This window comes from Homo sapiens, chromosome 19 (genome assembly GCF_000001405.40).
Source record: "Homo sapiens chromosome 19, GRCh38.p14 Primary Assembly".
Lineage (NCBI taxonomy): Eukaryota > Metazoa > Chordata > Mammalia > Primates > Hominidae > Homo > Homo sapiens.
The window spans coordinates 9,835,018-9,850,141 of NC_000019.10; the positions used below are offsets into that span (position 1 = coordinate 9,835,018).

At 56.7% G+C, this 15,124-nt stretch overlaps 1 protein-coding gene across 4 annotated transcripts, besides 4 other annotated features; it reads left to right on the plus strand.

The window, feature by feature from the left end:
* Positions 3-342: a silencer, noted in NCBI's record as "silent region_10047". NCBI's record gives its function as "represses an Ori minimal core promoter by ATAC-STARR-seq in GM12878 lymphoblastoid cells {active_cell/tissue: GM12878}" and the evidence as "EXISTENCE:reporter gene assay evidence [ECO:0000049][PMID:35858748]".
* On the plus strand, positions 301-14,672 carry PIN1 (peptidylprolyl cis/trans isomerase, NIMA-interacting 1). 4 transcript variants are annotated; one of them, NR_038830.2, is made up of 6 exons: positions 301-385; positions 1,806-1,858; positions 3,419-3,631; positions 13,013-13,123; positions 14,073-14,184; positions 14,516-14,672. NR_038830.2 is itself a non-coding variant. In XM_011528068.3 (6 exons), the coding sequence occupies exons 2-6, from the start codon at positions 1,850-1,852 to the stop codon at positions 14,180-14,182; spliced, it is 507 nt and encodes a 168-aa protein (XP_011526370.1). In that variant the 5' UTR covers positions 301-385; positions 1,806-1,849; the 3' UTR covers positions 14,183-14,672. The 4 variants fall into 4 exon arrangements, 2 of the variants coding, with proteins under 2 accessions (XP_011526370.1, NP_006212.1); XM_011528068.3 differs by adding an exon at positions 2,995-3,058 and having other exon boundaries at positions 14,073-14,672; NR_038422.3 differs by having other exon boundaries at positions 14,073-14,672.
* Positions 373-592: a silencer, noted in NCBI's record as "silent region_10048". NCBI's record gives its function as "represses an Ori minimal core promoter by ATAC-STARR-seq in GM12878 lymphoblastoid cells {active_cell/tissue: GM12878}" and the evidence as "EXISTENCE:reporter gene assay evidence [ECO:0000049][PMID:35858748]".
* Positions 12,458-13,009: an enhancer, noted in NCBI's record as "H3K27ac-H3K4me1 hESC enhancer chr19:9958151-9958702 (GRCh37/hg19 assembly coordinates)". NCBI's record gives its function as "activates a minimal SCP1, AML or CMV promoter by ChIP-STARR-seq in primed H9 embryonic stem cells {active_cell/tissue: H9 hESC(primed)}" and the evidence as "EXISTENCE:reporter gene assay evidence [ECO:0000049][PMID:30033119]".
* Positions 13,010-13,559: an enhancer, noted in NCBI's record as "H3K4me1 hESC enhancer chr19:9958703-9959252 (GRCh37/hg19 assembly coordinates)". NCBI's record gives its function as "activates a minimal SCP1, AML or CMV promoter by ChIP-STARR-seq in primed H9 embryonic stem cells {active_cell/tissue: H9 hESC(primed)}" and the evidence as "EXISTENCE:reporter gene assay evidence [ECO:0000049][PMID:30033119]".

A 15,124-nucleotide genomic window follows, 5' to 3' on the forward strand; every position in this document is an offset into this window, starting at 1 on the left:
CGGGAGTTTTTTGGCGCTCGCTAAAGGGCGTTGAGAAGGGCGGGCCCGCGTCGCTTCGGACCACTCAGGAGCCGAGGAGAGCGAGTGGGCGGGGCCAGGCTGAGGCTGGCCGGGGGCGGGGCGCAGGGATAACGTGGGAGGGTCCGCCCAGCCTTTCTTCTACCCAATAGAAGGCCAGAAAGCCAATCCGGACCGTTAGGGAGCCCAATGGGCGTCGCCGCCAGGCCCCGTTGCAGAGCGCGTCTAGCCAATAGGCAGCGGCGGCGGGCGGGCGCGGGCGACAGGCGGCGCAGCTGAGGCGGAGCAGGCGCTGCGGCAGGAGGGAAGATGGCGGACGAGGAGAAGCTGCCGCCCGGCTGGGAGAAGCGCATGAGCCGCAGCTCAGGTGCCGCGGGGGTCGGGGCTGGGGCGGGACTGCGCGGGCCCGCGTAAGCAGGGCTCGAGCTCGCCCCTTGGGCGCGGCGGCAGCGCTGCCTCCCTCCCATGGGGTCCTGGCTCTTCCGCGTCGTCCCCGGGGTAACGGCCCCGGCCCGCCCTGTTGTGGGGACTGCGAGCCTCAGGAGCCGCCGGGAAGCCTGAGGAAGCTGAGGCAGGGGGCTGGGCGGGTGAGGGTCCGGGGAGTCCGGGGCGATGGCCCTGGCCCTGCCGGCCCGGCTGATACCTCTCGGCCTAATGCACCTGACACCCCGGGGGACGTCTCTGCACCTTGCTGGGCCCGGGGGCACCCCTGGGAGGGAGACACCCCAGTACCCTGCAAAGGGCGTAGGGTGTTGCCCGGCCTCGGGTCCACAACCTACCCCTGCTAACACCCCTACTGTGTACACCTAATGCTGAGTCTGCGACATCGCCCGTGACATTCTGCCAGACGATGGCCCCTGTGCTTAGGCCCGATTTAAGGGTTAGCCACAATGATAATATTGCCAGTAACAGGGCATGTTTTTCTCTGTGTCAAGCGCTTTAAGTTCTCTCTGAATTGCCGCAACTCTGGGAGCCAGGTAGTTATTACTTCCACCTTACCAGCAAGGAAACTGAGGTCAGAAAACTGAAGGAACTCGTCCAAGATCATTCATTTCAGGGGCCGGGGGTTGGATTAGGACCTAGGCAGTTTGCCTACAAATCCCCCTCCCCGTGTCACTGCAAACTCCTGAGGAGCAGGCCCAGCATCTGTGGGCAGGTCCCGAGTCACTCTGCTGCCTCTAGAGCCCATAGCAATCGCATTTGCAATAATAATTCTCCTTGGTTGAGTGCCAGGTTCTGGTGAACTGTTTGGATACATGGACTCTCCTCATTAACCCCATGAGGTTTGATCTCCTTATTCTCTATTCCCCATTTTTCAGATGAGAAAACTGAGGTGCAGGGAGATTAGAGCCCATTGCCAAGGTTTTAGAGTGAGTCAGTAGCTCAGCTGCATTTGCACCTGGAACCCGCGCTCTCGCCCACCCTGCTCTAGCCCTGGCCTGTGGCTGGGACCTCCAGCATAAACCGGATGCTCTGCCCAGCTCTGGGCCCATTTCTGCTGTTTCTGCTCAGTTCAACCCTGATGGCTTCCTTTATGGGTGACACTCCATGTCACCCAGGCGAACTGTCAGCCTTTGGAGTGGCACCCAGTAGGGTCTTTACTTCCAGTTTCTTGTTCACAGTCTTCACTCCTTCATACCCCTCACTCCCTGGGTAACATCGGGCCACCAGTAATGCTGGTTCCTAGCTCTGCAACACCATGCACGGTGTAGTAGCTAAGAGCAGAGCTTTCGGGTGTGAAGTACCTGAGTACAGTTCCTGCCTTCCCCTGTGTGTGCCTGGAACAGAGTAAACACTCAGGAAGCGTTACCCACTGCTGCCATTCCCAGAGATGCAAAAGGTGAGGTCTCCGTTTTGCCATCTATACAATAGAGATAATAAAGGCTATCCCACTCTTAATGTGTGCCAGTTTCTGTCCTAGGCATTTTGTAGATGTGTGAGCTTATTTAGTGCTTTCTTATTATTATTTTTGGAGATGGTCTCACTGTGTGGCTCAGGCTGCAGTGCAGCCTCTGCCTCCCAGGCTTAAGCAATCCTCCCACCTCAGCCTTTCAAGTAGCTGAGACCACAGGCGTGTACCACCCACCCATGGCTAATTTTTTATTTTTTATTTTTTATTGTTTGTTTGTTTGTTTTGAGACAGAATCTCACTCTGTCACCCAGGCTGGAGTGCAGTGGCATGATCTTGGCGCACTGCAACCTCTGCCTCCCGGGTTCAAGTGATTCTCCTGCCTCAGCCTCCCGAGTAGCTGGGATTACAGGTGCCTGCCACCACGTCTGGCTAATTTTTGTATTTTTAGTAGAGACGAGGTTTCACCATGTTGGCCAGGCTGGTCTCGAGCTCCTAACCTCAGGTGATCCACCTGCCTCAGCCTCCCAAAGTGCTGGGATTACAGGCCTGAGCCACTGCGCCCAGCCAGCCTGTTGTTTTTGTTTTTGTTTTGAGACAAGAGTCTCACTCTATCGCTCAGGCTGGAGTGCAGTGGCATGATCTTGGCTCACTGTAGCCTCCACCTTCCAGATTCAAGCAATTCTCCTGCCTCAGCCTCCCGAGTAGCTGGGATTACAGACATACACCACAACGCCCGGCTAATGTTGGTTTGTTTGTTTGTTTGTGACGGAGTTTTGCTCTTGTTGCCCAGGCTGGAGTGCAGTGGCACAATCTCAGCTCACTGCAACCTCCATCTCCCGGGTTCAAGCGATTCTCCTGCTTCAGCCTCCCCAGTAGCTGGGATTACAGGTGCCTGCCACCATGCCGGGCTAATTTTTTATATTTTTAGTAGAGATGGGGTTTCACTGTGTTGGCCAGGCTGGTCTTGAACTCCTGACCTCAGGTGATCCACCCCACCTTGGCCTCCCAAAGTGCTGGGATTACAGGTGAGAGCCACCGTGCTTAGCCCTTTTAAAAATGTTTAAAAATTATTATTTAGTCCTTTCAATGACCCTAAGGTAGGAACTGTTATCTCCATTTTGCAGGTGAGAACACCAAGGCCCAGGGAAGATATATCACATTTGAACCCAGATTCAGATTTGAATCCAGGTGGCCTGGCTGCTGAGTGCATGGTTTGAGTCACTCCCTGTCCCCCAGCTTCCTCTGTTCCATCACTCTGGGTTATTTTCCTCCTTGAAGTTATCAGGGATTGATACTATCCTGTGTTTCATTTGCTTGTTTAGCACCTGTCTGCTCTCACCTAGAATGTTAGCTCTCTAAGGGCAGGGACTGTATCCTGCCACATTGGCCCACGTCTGGAGAGCCTGTGGCACATGGTGGATACACCATGGATTTGTTGAATGAAGGCGCCCCCTGCAAGCCAGGCCCTCACCCTGGCTTCTGGCTGTGGGCCCAGGGGTGTCCTGGGAGCACAACCCTAGCTGAATTCCTGCCTGCCCTCCCCTCCAGGCCGAGTGTACTACTTCAACCACATCACTAACGCCAGCCAGTGGGAGCGGCCCAGCGGCAACAGCAGCAGTGGTGGCAAAAACGGGCAGGGGGAGCCTGCCAGGGTCCGCTGCTCGCACCTGCTGGTGAAGCACAGCCAGTCACGGCGGCCCTCGTCCTGGCGGCAGGAGAAGATCACCCGGACCAAGGAGGAGGCCCTGGAGCTGATCAACGGTGAGCAGGGCGAGGGCAGGGGCTTGGGAGGGGGTCTTCTCCCAGGTGAGCCTTTGTAGAAGTCACATCAGACCCTTCACCCCAGCTTGCTCAGCTGCCAGGCGTGGTGTTGGCCAACACAAAAACGCCAGTGCATGACCTGACCCTGACCTTCACAGCAGCCATTCTCTTTCTTTTCCATCTGGCATTTGAGGGTGAGCCAGGTAGGGGCAGAGGACCCAGCCTGGGGGCTGGCAGACATGGGTTCAGGTAGTAGCTGTGCCTCTGTGAACTCTGTGACCTTTGGGAGGGGACTCGTGTCACCTCCCCTAGACTCAGCTTTCTCTGTAAAATGGGCATCCTCTAAGGACCATTGTGAAGGTTCAAGGGAATAAGGCAATGGATTTTGCACAGTAGGCCCTCAGTCTGTGGGAAGTGTTGTCAATAGTAATATCATCCACTAGGGGCCTGAGTCATAAACATAGGTGGATCCAGAGAGAGCAGTCAGGAAGGTAGTGAGTGCATGCAGGGTGCGGTGGCTCACGCCTGTAATCCCAGCACTTTGGGAGGCCTTGGAGGGCAGATCACCTGAGGTCAGGAGTTCAAGATTAGCCTGGGCAGTATGGTGAAACTCCATCTCTACTAAAAATACAAAGATTAGCCAGATGTGTTGACGCATGCCTGTAATCCCAGCTACTCGGGAGGCTGAGGCAGGGAGGCAGAGGTTGCAGTGAGCCGAGATCGCACCACTCCACTCCAGCCTGGGCAGCAAAGTGAGGCACCATCTCAAAAAAAAAAAAAAAAAAGAGGTAGTGAGTGCCAGTAGATAGTGAGTTAATTCTGACCTAAGGGAGGAAGCTATTCCCTGCTCTGTTCTGTGTTTCCTCTGCAGTCTGGCACCAAGGTGGCAAACTTTAAAGGCCAGATGGTAAATATTTTAGGTTTTGTGGGCCATGCAGTCTCTATCAGCTCTGCTTTGTAACTGGATAGCACTCATAACTAATATGTAAGCAAGCACATGGTCATGGCTGTGTGCCAAGAAAACTTTACTATTTACAAAATCTGGGAGGATTTGGCCTGCAGGCCATCATTTGCAGAGCCCTGTCTAAAGCTGTCCAGTTTGGCTGCCACTCCCACCCTGTGCGGGAGGATCACTTGAGCCCAGGAGTTTGAGACCAGCTTGGGCAACATAGCAAAACCCCGTCTCTAAAAAAATAAAAAAATTAGCTGGACATGGTGGTGCACGCCTGTAGTGTCAGCTACTTAGAAGACTGAGGTGGGAGGATCCTTTGAGCCCAGGAGGCAGAGGTTGTAATGAGCCGAGATCACACTACCGCACTCCAGCCTGGGTGACAGAGCAAGACCCTGTCTCAAAAATAAATAAGATAATATCAAAAATTGGTTTCTCAATTGCACTGGTCATACTTTAGCTGGTGGCTGCCATCTTTGACAGCGGGAATATAAAACATTTACATTCTTGGCCGGGCGCGGTGGCTCACGTCTGTAATTCCAGCACTTTGGGAGGCCAAGGTGGGTGGATCACGAAGTCAGGAGATCGAGACCATCCTGGCTAACACGGTGAAACCCTGTCTTTACTGAAAATCCAAAAAAATTAGTCTGGCATGGTGGCGGGCACCTGTAGTCCCAGCTACTCGGGAGATAGGCAGGAGAATGGCATGAACCCGGGAGGTGGAGCTTGCAGTGAGCTGAGATCGTGCCACTGCACTCCAGCCTCGGCAACAGAGCGAGACTCCGTCTCAAAAAAACAAAAACAAAAACAAAAAAAAACACTTTTCCATTCTTGCAGTAAGTTGTGTCTGATGCCTTTCTCAGAGTCCCCAAACCTGGGCTGTCCCTACTCCAAACAACCCATCTCTCAACCATGCCCAGACAGCCTGGGTTGCTATGCAGCTCTGCCACGTCCTGGCTATGTGCTCTTGAGCAAGTTACTTAACATCTCTGGGCTTCAATCTTTTTCTCCTTCTTCTTTTGAGACAGGGTCTTGCTCTGTCACCCAGGCTGGAGTGCAGTGTTCATAGCTCACTGCAGCCTCAACCTCCTTGGGATCAGGTGATCCTCCCACCTCAGCCTCCCAAGTAGCTGGGACTGCAGGCTCATAACACCACACCTGGCTGATTTTTGTATTTTTAGTAGAGACAGGACTTCACCATGTTGCCTAGGATGGTCTCAAACTCCTGGCCTCAAGTGATCCTTCCACCTCAGCCTCCCGAAGTGTTGGGATGACAAGCATGAACCACCGCCCCCAGCTGTCAGTCTTTTTCATTTATAAAATTAGTATTAGAATAATAAGACCCACTTCACAGGGTAGTTGTGAGGACTCCTGGCTAATACAGTAAAGCGGGAGTAACAGCTCCTGGCATCGGTAAATGTTCTGTCATTGTTAGTGGTCACTGTCATTGCTGTTGTTGGTTGTGGTAGCACAGGGCCCAGCACAGAGTGTACACTCGGTCAGTATTGGCTGTTGTTTTACTCTCTCATCACTTGGTCCAGTTGGCCTGTAGGATGTTATTACATATGCACACCCCCAACATGGCATCTAGGACAGTAAGTGCCACCCGTTAGTCTTATATGTAAGCATGGCAGAGAGAAGCCGAGTTCTTGCACAGAATCTTGAAGGCTGATTGAAGAGCCAGCCTCCTGACCTCTGAGGGCAGGGACTGGATCTCTCTCTTTCCCCTGTATTCCCATCCTGCCACACAAAGCCTGGCCCAGAGTCAGCCCTCACAGCCTTGTTTCATGAGCCAGTAGGAAGCAAGAAGGATTCCTGGCACAGGACGGGGCAGAAGTAAAGGCCTAGGACTAGGATGTAGCCAGAACTCTGGGGAAGGCTTTGCAGGGAGCTAGGGGGTGATGAGACCCTTCACGGGCAGGTCCCAGCCAGGTTGAGGAGGGTCCTTGTCAGGTGAGGAGGTTTGGTTCTTTCCTGGAGGCAGCAGGACATATGTGGCCATGTGGGACCAGGAGAGGAACCCACAGTGCTCTGCTTTCAGCAGAGATCTGTGAAGCTAGAATGTCAAGGGCCAGGGAAGTGGAAGGCCCAGAACCTTCAGGGGTTCTGGTTGCCCCAGAGCAAGAAGAAGAAGTGGAGGGAGAAGCCAGGAGAGAATTGCAAGATGACCCTTCAGGTCCTCCCAGCTCTAGTGGTCTCTGTTCTGAGGCTTCCGGACCCTATAAGAGTGAGCAGGAGGGTGCAGGCATTTGGGGATGGAGCGGCATGAAGTGGGCTCCTGGGGGTCAGCAGAGCAGCCAGGCGCAGGACAGAGCTGCTCCAAGCAATCCTGATGAGAGCTGGCAGAAGGCTGAGGTCGGTGGGGATAGTGAGGAGGGCATGGGTCTGGGTGTGGTGGGCGAGGGTGTCTCGCCCATCTCTGGGTTGGACAGGTGCACCTGGTAAGTAGCCAGGCCCTGAGGCGTCACCGTAGGTACCTGCAGATTCTGGAATGTCAGCAGGAGCCTTGCCTGCCCACCTGGTGGAAGCTGTGGGAGGAATTGGAGCAAGAGGCGGTGTGACTTGAACTTGGGGGCTGGAAGTGGAAGAAGAAGTGAGAGGGAGCAGACCCGAGAGAGATTCAGGAGGCAGGATAGAGAGGACTGGGTGATGGATTAGGTGGGCAAGGGTGGGATGTCTGGGGGAGGGTCAGGGCAGAACAGCGTGGCCCACCCTGGGCTCGTACAGGGCTGGATTTCAGTGCCAGCTGTGTGGTCTTCATTTCCTGAGCCTCAGTTGCCTCATCTGTAGAATGGGGAGAGGGTGGCTATGAGGATCCAGGAGCTATGGGCTCAGTGGCTGGCGTGCTCTGCACGGTGGAGCCTCAGCCCCAGTCATTGGGGTGTGGACGATGGGGGAGCTGAGGTCAAGTCAAGGCCTCTGCTCACGGGCAGCCCCTGCTGCCACCCCACAGCCCGTAGAAAGAGTTCCGGATAGGACCACAGGAGGCCTGGTGGGCTCAGCACACAGATGATGACCTTGGCACACGACCTCCCTCTCCTGGTATCCTCCTGCCTGAGACGGTGCTGGGGCAGATCTCCTCAGAGGTCGATAGGAGGATGCAGTGAGGTGGCCCCGGCCGAGGTACACTCGGTAACAGATCATCATGTGCAGTGTCGGCGCAGGCATTGGGCACCTGGGCCTCATTTTCTCTTCCATGAAGTGGATGTTCTCCCCTCGAGGGTTCATGCCGGGTGATCAGGAGACCATGATTTGGGCAGCTCACTCCCCAGCTGGCAGCCGGGCTAAATCTCATCAGTGCCCATTTAGATCTGGTGCTCCGCCCTTGCCCCGAAGGGACAGGCTGCCTGCAGAGAGAGCCGGGACCTCCACATTTTCTGCTGAGGCTCCTTTTCCCAGCATTGGCTCCTCTGCAGCTGCTGGGCCACAGCCAGAGGCTGTCAGAGATCCAAGGGAGTCATTGCCAGTGTCCTTGTCTAAGGAGGATGGGCCATGGAGAAGCCCTCCCTGCCCGCTCTCCACCCAGATCTGTTGACAGCCACCCCTCACATGCCCAGGGCCTGGAGGGTCCCAGCAAGGCTGAGACTATGAGCAGCTGTCCTACTCACATACCCATCCCAGCATCCAGGTCAGCCCCTTTGTCCTGGGGTCCTCAAGGTCACTGGCGCCCTTCCAGCCTGCTGGCCTTGGGCCAGCCTCTAGCCCCTCCTTCTGGATCTTGGTCTTCTCAGATCTGACCCTGTCACCTCTTTCCCCGACCAGGCCCCTTCCCCTCTGGTGCCTGGGCAGCCTGGGGGAAGTATGCTGGAAGCAGCGTAATGATCTGGCAAGGCAGAGGAGACAGCACGTCTTGAAACATTTTTGGGGTCAAGGACTACCCCATTTGTTCCCTCACTCCCACCTAGGTCACTGATGTGCATTAGCTTGGACTGTTGTAACAAAATATCACAGACAGTGTGGCTTAAACAACAGTCATCACTTTCCACAGTTCTGGAGGCCAGAAGTCCACAATCCAGGTTCCCTCAGATTCTGTTCCTGGCGAGAACCCACTTCCTGGCTTGTAGACGGCTGCCCTCTCACTGTGCACTCACATGGCATTCCCCAGGCGCATGTGCACGGAGTGAAGGAGCACGAGCTCTCTGGTGTCTCTTATAAGGACACTAATCCTGGCCAGGCGCAGTGGCTCATGCCTGTAATCCCAGCACTTTGGGAGACTGAGGTGGGTGGATCACCTGAGGTCAGGAATTCAAGACCAGCCTGGCCAACATGGTAAAACTCCATCTCTACTAAAAATACTAAAAAAAAAGCCAGATGTAGTGGCGCACACCTGTGATCCCAGCTACTCAGGAGGCTGAGGCAGGAGGATCGCTGGAACCTGGGAGGCAGAGGTCACAGTGAGCCGAGATTGTACCACTGCACTCCAGCCTGGGTGACAGAGCCAGATTCTGCCTCAAAAAAAAAAGGGGCGCTAATCCTGTTGGATCAGGGCCCCACCCTTATGACCTCATTTAACCCTAGTTACTTCCCCAAAGTCCCCATCTCCAGATGCAGCCACACTGGAGGTTAGGGCTTTAACACATGAATTTGGGGTGACACAAACATTGAGTCCATAACGGATGGGCAGCTTGGATCTGTCAGGGGCCTGCTCTGCAACAGCCACTGCTTAAGCGGTCACTGATTCACTCCTTGGAACAGGCTCCAACGTGGGAGCAGCGGTTACCCCATTTTACAGGCCAGTTGAGTGAGGCTCCAAGAGGTAAAGTCACCTGCCAGACTCTCATTGTTCAGGAGCAGCAGAGGTAGGATCTGGACCTGATGGAGTCTGGAGTCAGCACCCATAACATGTCCTCCTGGACCTTGGGGATACACTGTGAGCAGGCTGGCTGGGGTCTGCCAGCACAGATAGGTGCCATTCTGTTTTGCATACTATTTCAGGGGGTCCTGAACACCTTGAAGCAGGTGGAGGCCCCTGCTCCAGACTGGGAGCTCCTGGAGAGGCCACCCTGTGTCTGTGTGGTTCTAAGCTGGAGCCACATCGAATCAGGATGGGGCTCCAGCACCCGACAGTCCCCATCAAATTTCACAGGTTTTGGCGCCGTCGGGCAAGGCTGACACATTGTCTTGGAGGAGGCCCAGGAAGTCTGGCCTTAGGGTCGCAGCCTGAGTTTCAGGCAGATAGGGCATGAGATTCCAGCATTTCTGCTTCGAGCCCCGTGGTAGATCCCTGTCTCCCTCCTTCCCCATGGCCTATTTCTGTCTCATTTATTCATTAACTTCTTGAACATTCGTGAACACCTGTTTTGTGCACAGTGCTGGGTTCTGAGGGTGCAGCAATGAAGAAGGCCAACCCAGCAGCCTCCATTCCTGCACTGTGAGGCGGGCAAGCAACACACCAATGGGACGGTAGTAAATGCAGCACCCAGGGGGAGGCACCTAACACAGTGGGGGATTAGGGGAGGCTTCTTGGGGAGACCAGAGGATAGCTGATGAGTTTCAGGCAGGACAAGAGGCTTAAACCAAGGTCTGCGAGGTGGGAGTCGGAGGATGTCATTGTCGCGGGGTCAGGTACAGGCTGAGCTAACAAGACACACAGGACCAAACCCCTCAAGGTCAGCCTCACAGAGCAGGAACTCAGGAAGAAAGCGTTTTTGTTTGTTTGTTTGTTTGTTTGTTTGTTTGTTTGAAATGGAGTTTCGCTCTTGTTGCCCACGCTGGAGTGCAGTGGCAACGATCTCAGCTCACTGTACCTTCTACCTCCCAGTTTCAAGAGAAAGCGTTTTTTTGTTTGTTTGTTTGTTTGTTTGTTTGTTTGAAATGGAGTTTCGCTCTTGTTGCCCACGCTGGAGTGCAGTGGCAACGATCTCAGCTCACTGTACCTTTCTACCTCCCAGGTTCAAGAGAAAGCGTTTTAAAAAAAAAAATCATTCCAGCTACTTGCGAGGCTGAGGCAAGAGGATTGCTGCAGCCCAGGGGTTTGAGGCCAGCCTGAACAATAAAGTGCGACCCCATCTCTGCAAAAGGAAAACAAAAACAGTCATTGCAGGCTCCCATCATAGCAGAAAATTTTCCAAGAGAGCTGGCAGGTCAGAGGCAGATCTGGGTGATATGAGCTATTGGTGTGCCAAAGTGTGGCTTTTATTTGTTTTTAAGTGGTATGGCTTGCACACTATGTGTGTGAGAGAGGACAACTTGGGCGGGCTGTCCAATTTCAGGGATCCCTGTGGCTGTGTCCCCAGCCCTGGCCGCTGGGGGCTGTGGCAAGGTGATGCTTGTTCAGGGCCTGGGCCTGGCTCCTCAGACGCTCAGTGCCTGCAGGCAGTCCTGCTTCCCCGAAGTAGGTGGGTACCTCTGGGGGCACCGTGCGATCCCCTGGCTGGCTTAGTGGTCCAGACAGAAGGGGGGACAGGGGACTCCAGTGCTCTGTGCCTAAGGCCAAGGAGATACCTAGAAGTTCAGGGAGAGGAGGGGTGGGAGGGGGTCCTAGCAACATCTGGTTTAAGTCGGAGTCACTGGTGGATGTGTCTGGCACAGAGGAGGACCCCGTGGCAGCCCTGGAAGCGGGGCATTCTGATCAAACCAGGGCATCACGGGCAGAAGCCTCTGTAATGTGCCATCCCAACAGAAGCTGGGGCCCTGTATGGCATCGATGTCCCTGTCAGACCAGGACACGTGGGCCGGCAGGGCCAAGGATAGGGAGAGCAGAGCAGTAGAGGCTGCGTCATCCCTGGGATGCAGTCCCCATGGAGGGGAAGAATGATGACAGCAAGGGACGTTGGTCAGGGTCCTGCTCGGTGCCGGGCACTATGCTGCATGTCACAGCCACTGGCACAAGACTGTCAGGCGGAGGGGCACAGGGATGTCAGGGCAGCAGGTCGTGGTGACATCCAGCTCAGATACCAGGACACTGGTGGCTGCCATGACGTGCAGCCAAACAGGGAGCTATGGCTGTGCTCTCACGGTGGTACCATTTCCACTGCAGTCCCAAGCAGGTTAGAGCGTGAGGCCGAGGGGCCCTGGGGACACTTGGATCAGTCCAGTGTGTTCAGCAGGTGCCACGGTTGGGTGTCCAGGCCTCCCAGCACTGGCTAGGTCACCCAGCAGTGTTCCCGTGGGTCTCCAACAGGCTCCAGGCCAGTGTATCAGCTATGTATGTCCTGGGCAAGTTGGCCGGCAGGTGTGTCATGGCATCATTTAGGTCAGAAGGAGCAAGGGTAGAAGTGTCAGGGTGACATTAAGAAACCCCCTACTGAGTGTGTCAGGGTGACCTTCACGTTGGAGAGAAGAACTGGTGTCCCTGGAGAGTGGCTGCCAGGCCTTAGGGTACACGGGGCGGGTGCAGTTCACCCAGAGGGCTGCCCTGGCTTGCTGGGGCTGTCGCACCACTGGCCTAGGGAGGACACTGGAAGGGACGCCCGTTTGTGTCAGAGCAAGAGGATTGGGGTAGGGCAGGCTTTGGCCCATGGGCACCTTCCTGGGGGTGGCCTGGAGTCAGGAAGGCGGTAGCCATTCCTCCTGACCTGGCACGTGCACAAGACTGCATACACACACTTGCTCACACACAGTCACACCACACACACCACGTGCACACACACGCAGCCCTCCCCACTTGGCTTCCGAAACGTGAGTCACTCAGATGCTACTCTGCTGCCGTCTTGCCCCCTCTGCTGGCAGCCCTGTTCCTCCTAACTCCACCAGCCCTGGCCTCCTCCGCCTCCTGGAGAGTCAGAGCCGATGGGCTAGTTTGGGCCACACAGGGTGGGGCCACCCTGAGTTCTGCCAGCATGCAGACTGTAGGTGGGGAGCCGGGAGAAGAGCTATGTTGCCTGCCTCTGGGACCCTGGGGCTACAGCCCACGAGTGTCCCTTGCAGAGCCCACCAGGGTGCCTTGGAGGCCCATCCCAGTGCCAGGCTGTTCTTCCCAGATGGGACAGCTGGGGCCACAGGCTGCCGTGGCAGTGCTGGGCTTTCTCTGGACAGCTCTCCCACCTCTGCCCAGGGGGCCCGGGGGGCCAGCCCCCTGCCTGGGTCAGCCTCTCCCTGCCTGCTGCTCTCCTCTGGCCCATCCAGCTTGTATGTAGATTTTCCCTCACGTGTGTGTGTGTGTGTGCATGTGTGTGTGCTGGTGAGAGTGACAGCGGGAGCAGGGATGTGAGACCTGCAGGGTGGCAGGGCTCATGGATGACTGGCGGGGTGCATTAAGTGCTCATGCTCGTGAAAGGCACCTCTTCTTGGGTGTGGGTGAGGACAGGTGTGACTGCGCATGCAGGTATGTGTGAGGAGAGGGGTTGTGGGGAGCATGTGCGCCTGTGAGGGGAGGCTTTCCAACTGAAGTGCTGCCTCCCCCGCTGGCCAGCTCTGGAGTCCTCCATCCTGTCTGGTCAGGCCCCCCCCAACCCCTGACCTGGCACTCCCATTCCGTTCCATGTCCACAGGCTACATCCAGAAGATCAAGTCGGGAGAGGAGGACTTTGAGTCTCTGGCCTCACAGTTCAGCGACTGCAGCTCAGCCAAGGCCAGGGGAGACCTGGGTGCCTTCAGCAGAGGTGCGCAAGGAATGGGCCTCACCAGGTTGGGGGACCCTTACCACCCTGAGGGGTAGAGGCCAGGAGGGTCTGGGCATTGGGCTCCCAGGTGCCACACCGGCCTTCGGGGTCCAGCAGGTGGCAGCACAGCCCCTTCCTCAGGCTTCAGAGGCTGCTCTGCTGGGCAGGGCCAGGGCCACACAGGGAGGGGGGCTGCAGCACTTTCTTCCTGGCATCATCTCTACCCTGGGGGGCATGGTCTCTTGTGTGTCTGTGCACAGATGTCCTCATCCCAGGCCCACCAAGGTGGGTACATCCTGTCCTCTGCCTCTTCCTTTTTGTGGTTTAAGGTTGAGGGCCCTGAGAGTCCCAGGGCCTGTCCCCCAGAATCCCTCTCAAAGGTGGGGAAACCAGGGGTGAGAGGAGGTGGCCCTGAGTTTAGGCCTGTCTGGCCAGGACAGTGGAAATCAGGGACAGAGGGGACTAGGCCTCCTCCTCTTCCTCCTCTTCAGTCCTCGGGGTCTACAGAAAAACATCAGGGAGAGGCCAGGATGGGTTGCAGGGTGTGGTGTGCAGGTGTCTTAGTGGGGTGGGGCGGCAGCATGGGGCCAGCAGCTGCCCACCTCCTCCGAGGAGGCTGGTGGGACAGATGACATGGCAGGGCTGGGAACCAGGCCCAGGGAGACGAGTTCACTACCGAAGTGGCCCCTAAATGCACGGCGGCGGCCGTAGCCCTGCCTGCTATCCTTCATGCTGTCCTCGGGCTTCCCAGGGCCTCCTTAATGGCCCTGCCACCCCCAGCTGGGCCGCCGCTCAGCACTGGCAATAAACATGGTGACGGATGAGTGTGGACGAGTGTGAGGCTCAGCGCAGGCAGGAGCCCCATCTGTCGCGGCTGCCACCCGCCCTGCCTCATCCTGGCCTCTGCCAGCCCAGCCCTGACACCCCCACCGCCCCTCCTGGCTCCCAGGTCAGATGCAGAAGCCATTTGAAGACGCCTCGTTTGCGCTGCGGACGGGGGAGATGAGCGGGCCCGTGTTCACGGATTCCGGCATCCACATCATCCTCCGCACTGAGTGAGGGTGGGGAGCCCAGGCCTGGCCTCGGGGCAGGGCAGGGCGGCTAGGCCGGCCAGCTCCCCCTTGCCCGCCAGCCAGTGGCCGAACCCCCCACTCCCTGCCACCGTCACACAGTATTTATTGTTCCCACAATGGCTGGGAGGGGGCCCTTCCAGATTGGGGGCCCTGGGGTCCCCACTCCCTGTCCATCCCCAGTTGGGGCTGCGACCGCCAGATTCTCCCTTAAGGAATTGACTTCAGCAGGGGTGGGAGGCTCCCAGACCCAGGGCAGTGTGGTGGGAGGGGTGTTCCAAAGAGAAGGCCTGGTCAGCAGAGCCGCCCCGTGTCCCCCCAGGTGCTGGAGGCAGACTCGAGGGCCGAATTGTTTCTAGTTAGGCCACGCTCCTCTGTTCAGTCGCAAAGGTGAACACTCATGCGGCCCAGCCATGGGCCCTCTGAGCAACTGTGCAGCACCCTTTCACCCCCAATTAAACCCAGAACCACTGCTCTGCTCTCCTGTGTCTCATTTCTCCTCAGGGAAGCATAGTGGGGAAGATGTCGTGGGGAGGGGATCATAGCCCCCCCATCCTAAGGGTCCCAGCTGCAAGTTCTCCCCCGAGGCTTCCCCTTGCCCTGGGCCAGGGGGAGTCACAGCAGCTGGCTCTTGGGGACATGGGCACTGTCCAGCTGCCCAGCACCCTGAGATCTGCTTCCCTGCCATCTCAGGGGCTTCCAGAAGGTTCGTGGGTCCAACCCGGCACCTGGCCCAGCACCCATTGCAGCTGCAGTTACCATGACAACAGGGCCCTCCCGGACTGGAGGGGGCTCCTGCAGGGAGGGGGATGGGAGCAGACATGGCTTTTAGTGCCTGAAGGTGGAGCAGAGGGAATCCTGGGGTGGGTGGCGGGGAGATGGGGTCCCCCGCCAGTGTGGGGGCTGTGGATGTGGCATGCCTGACCCCCAT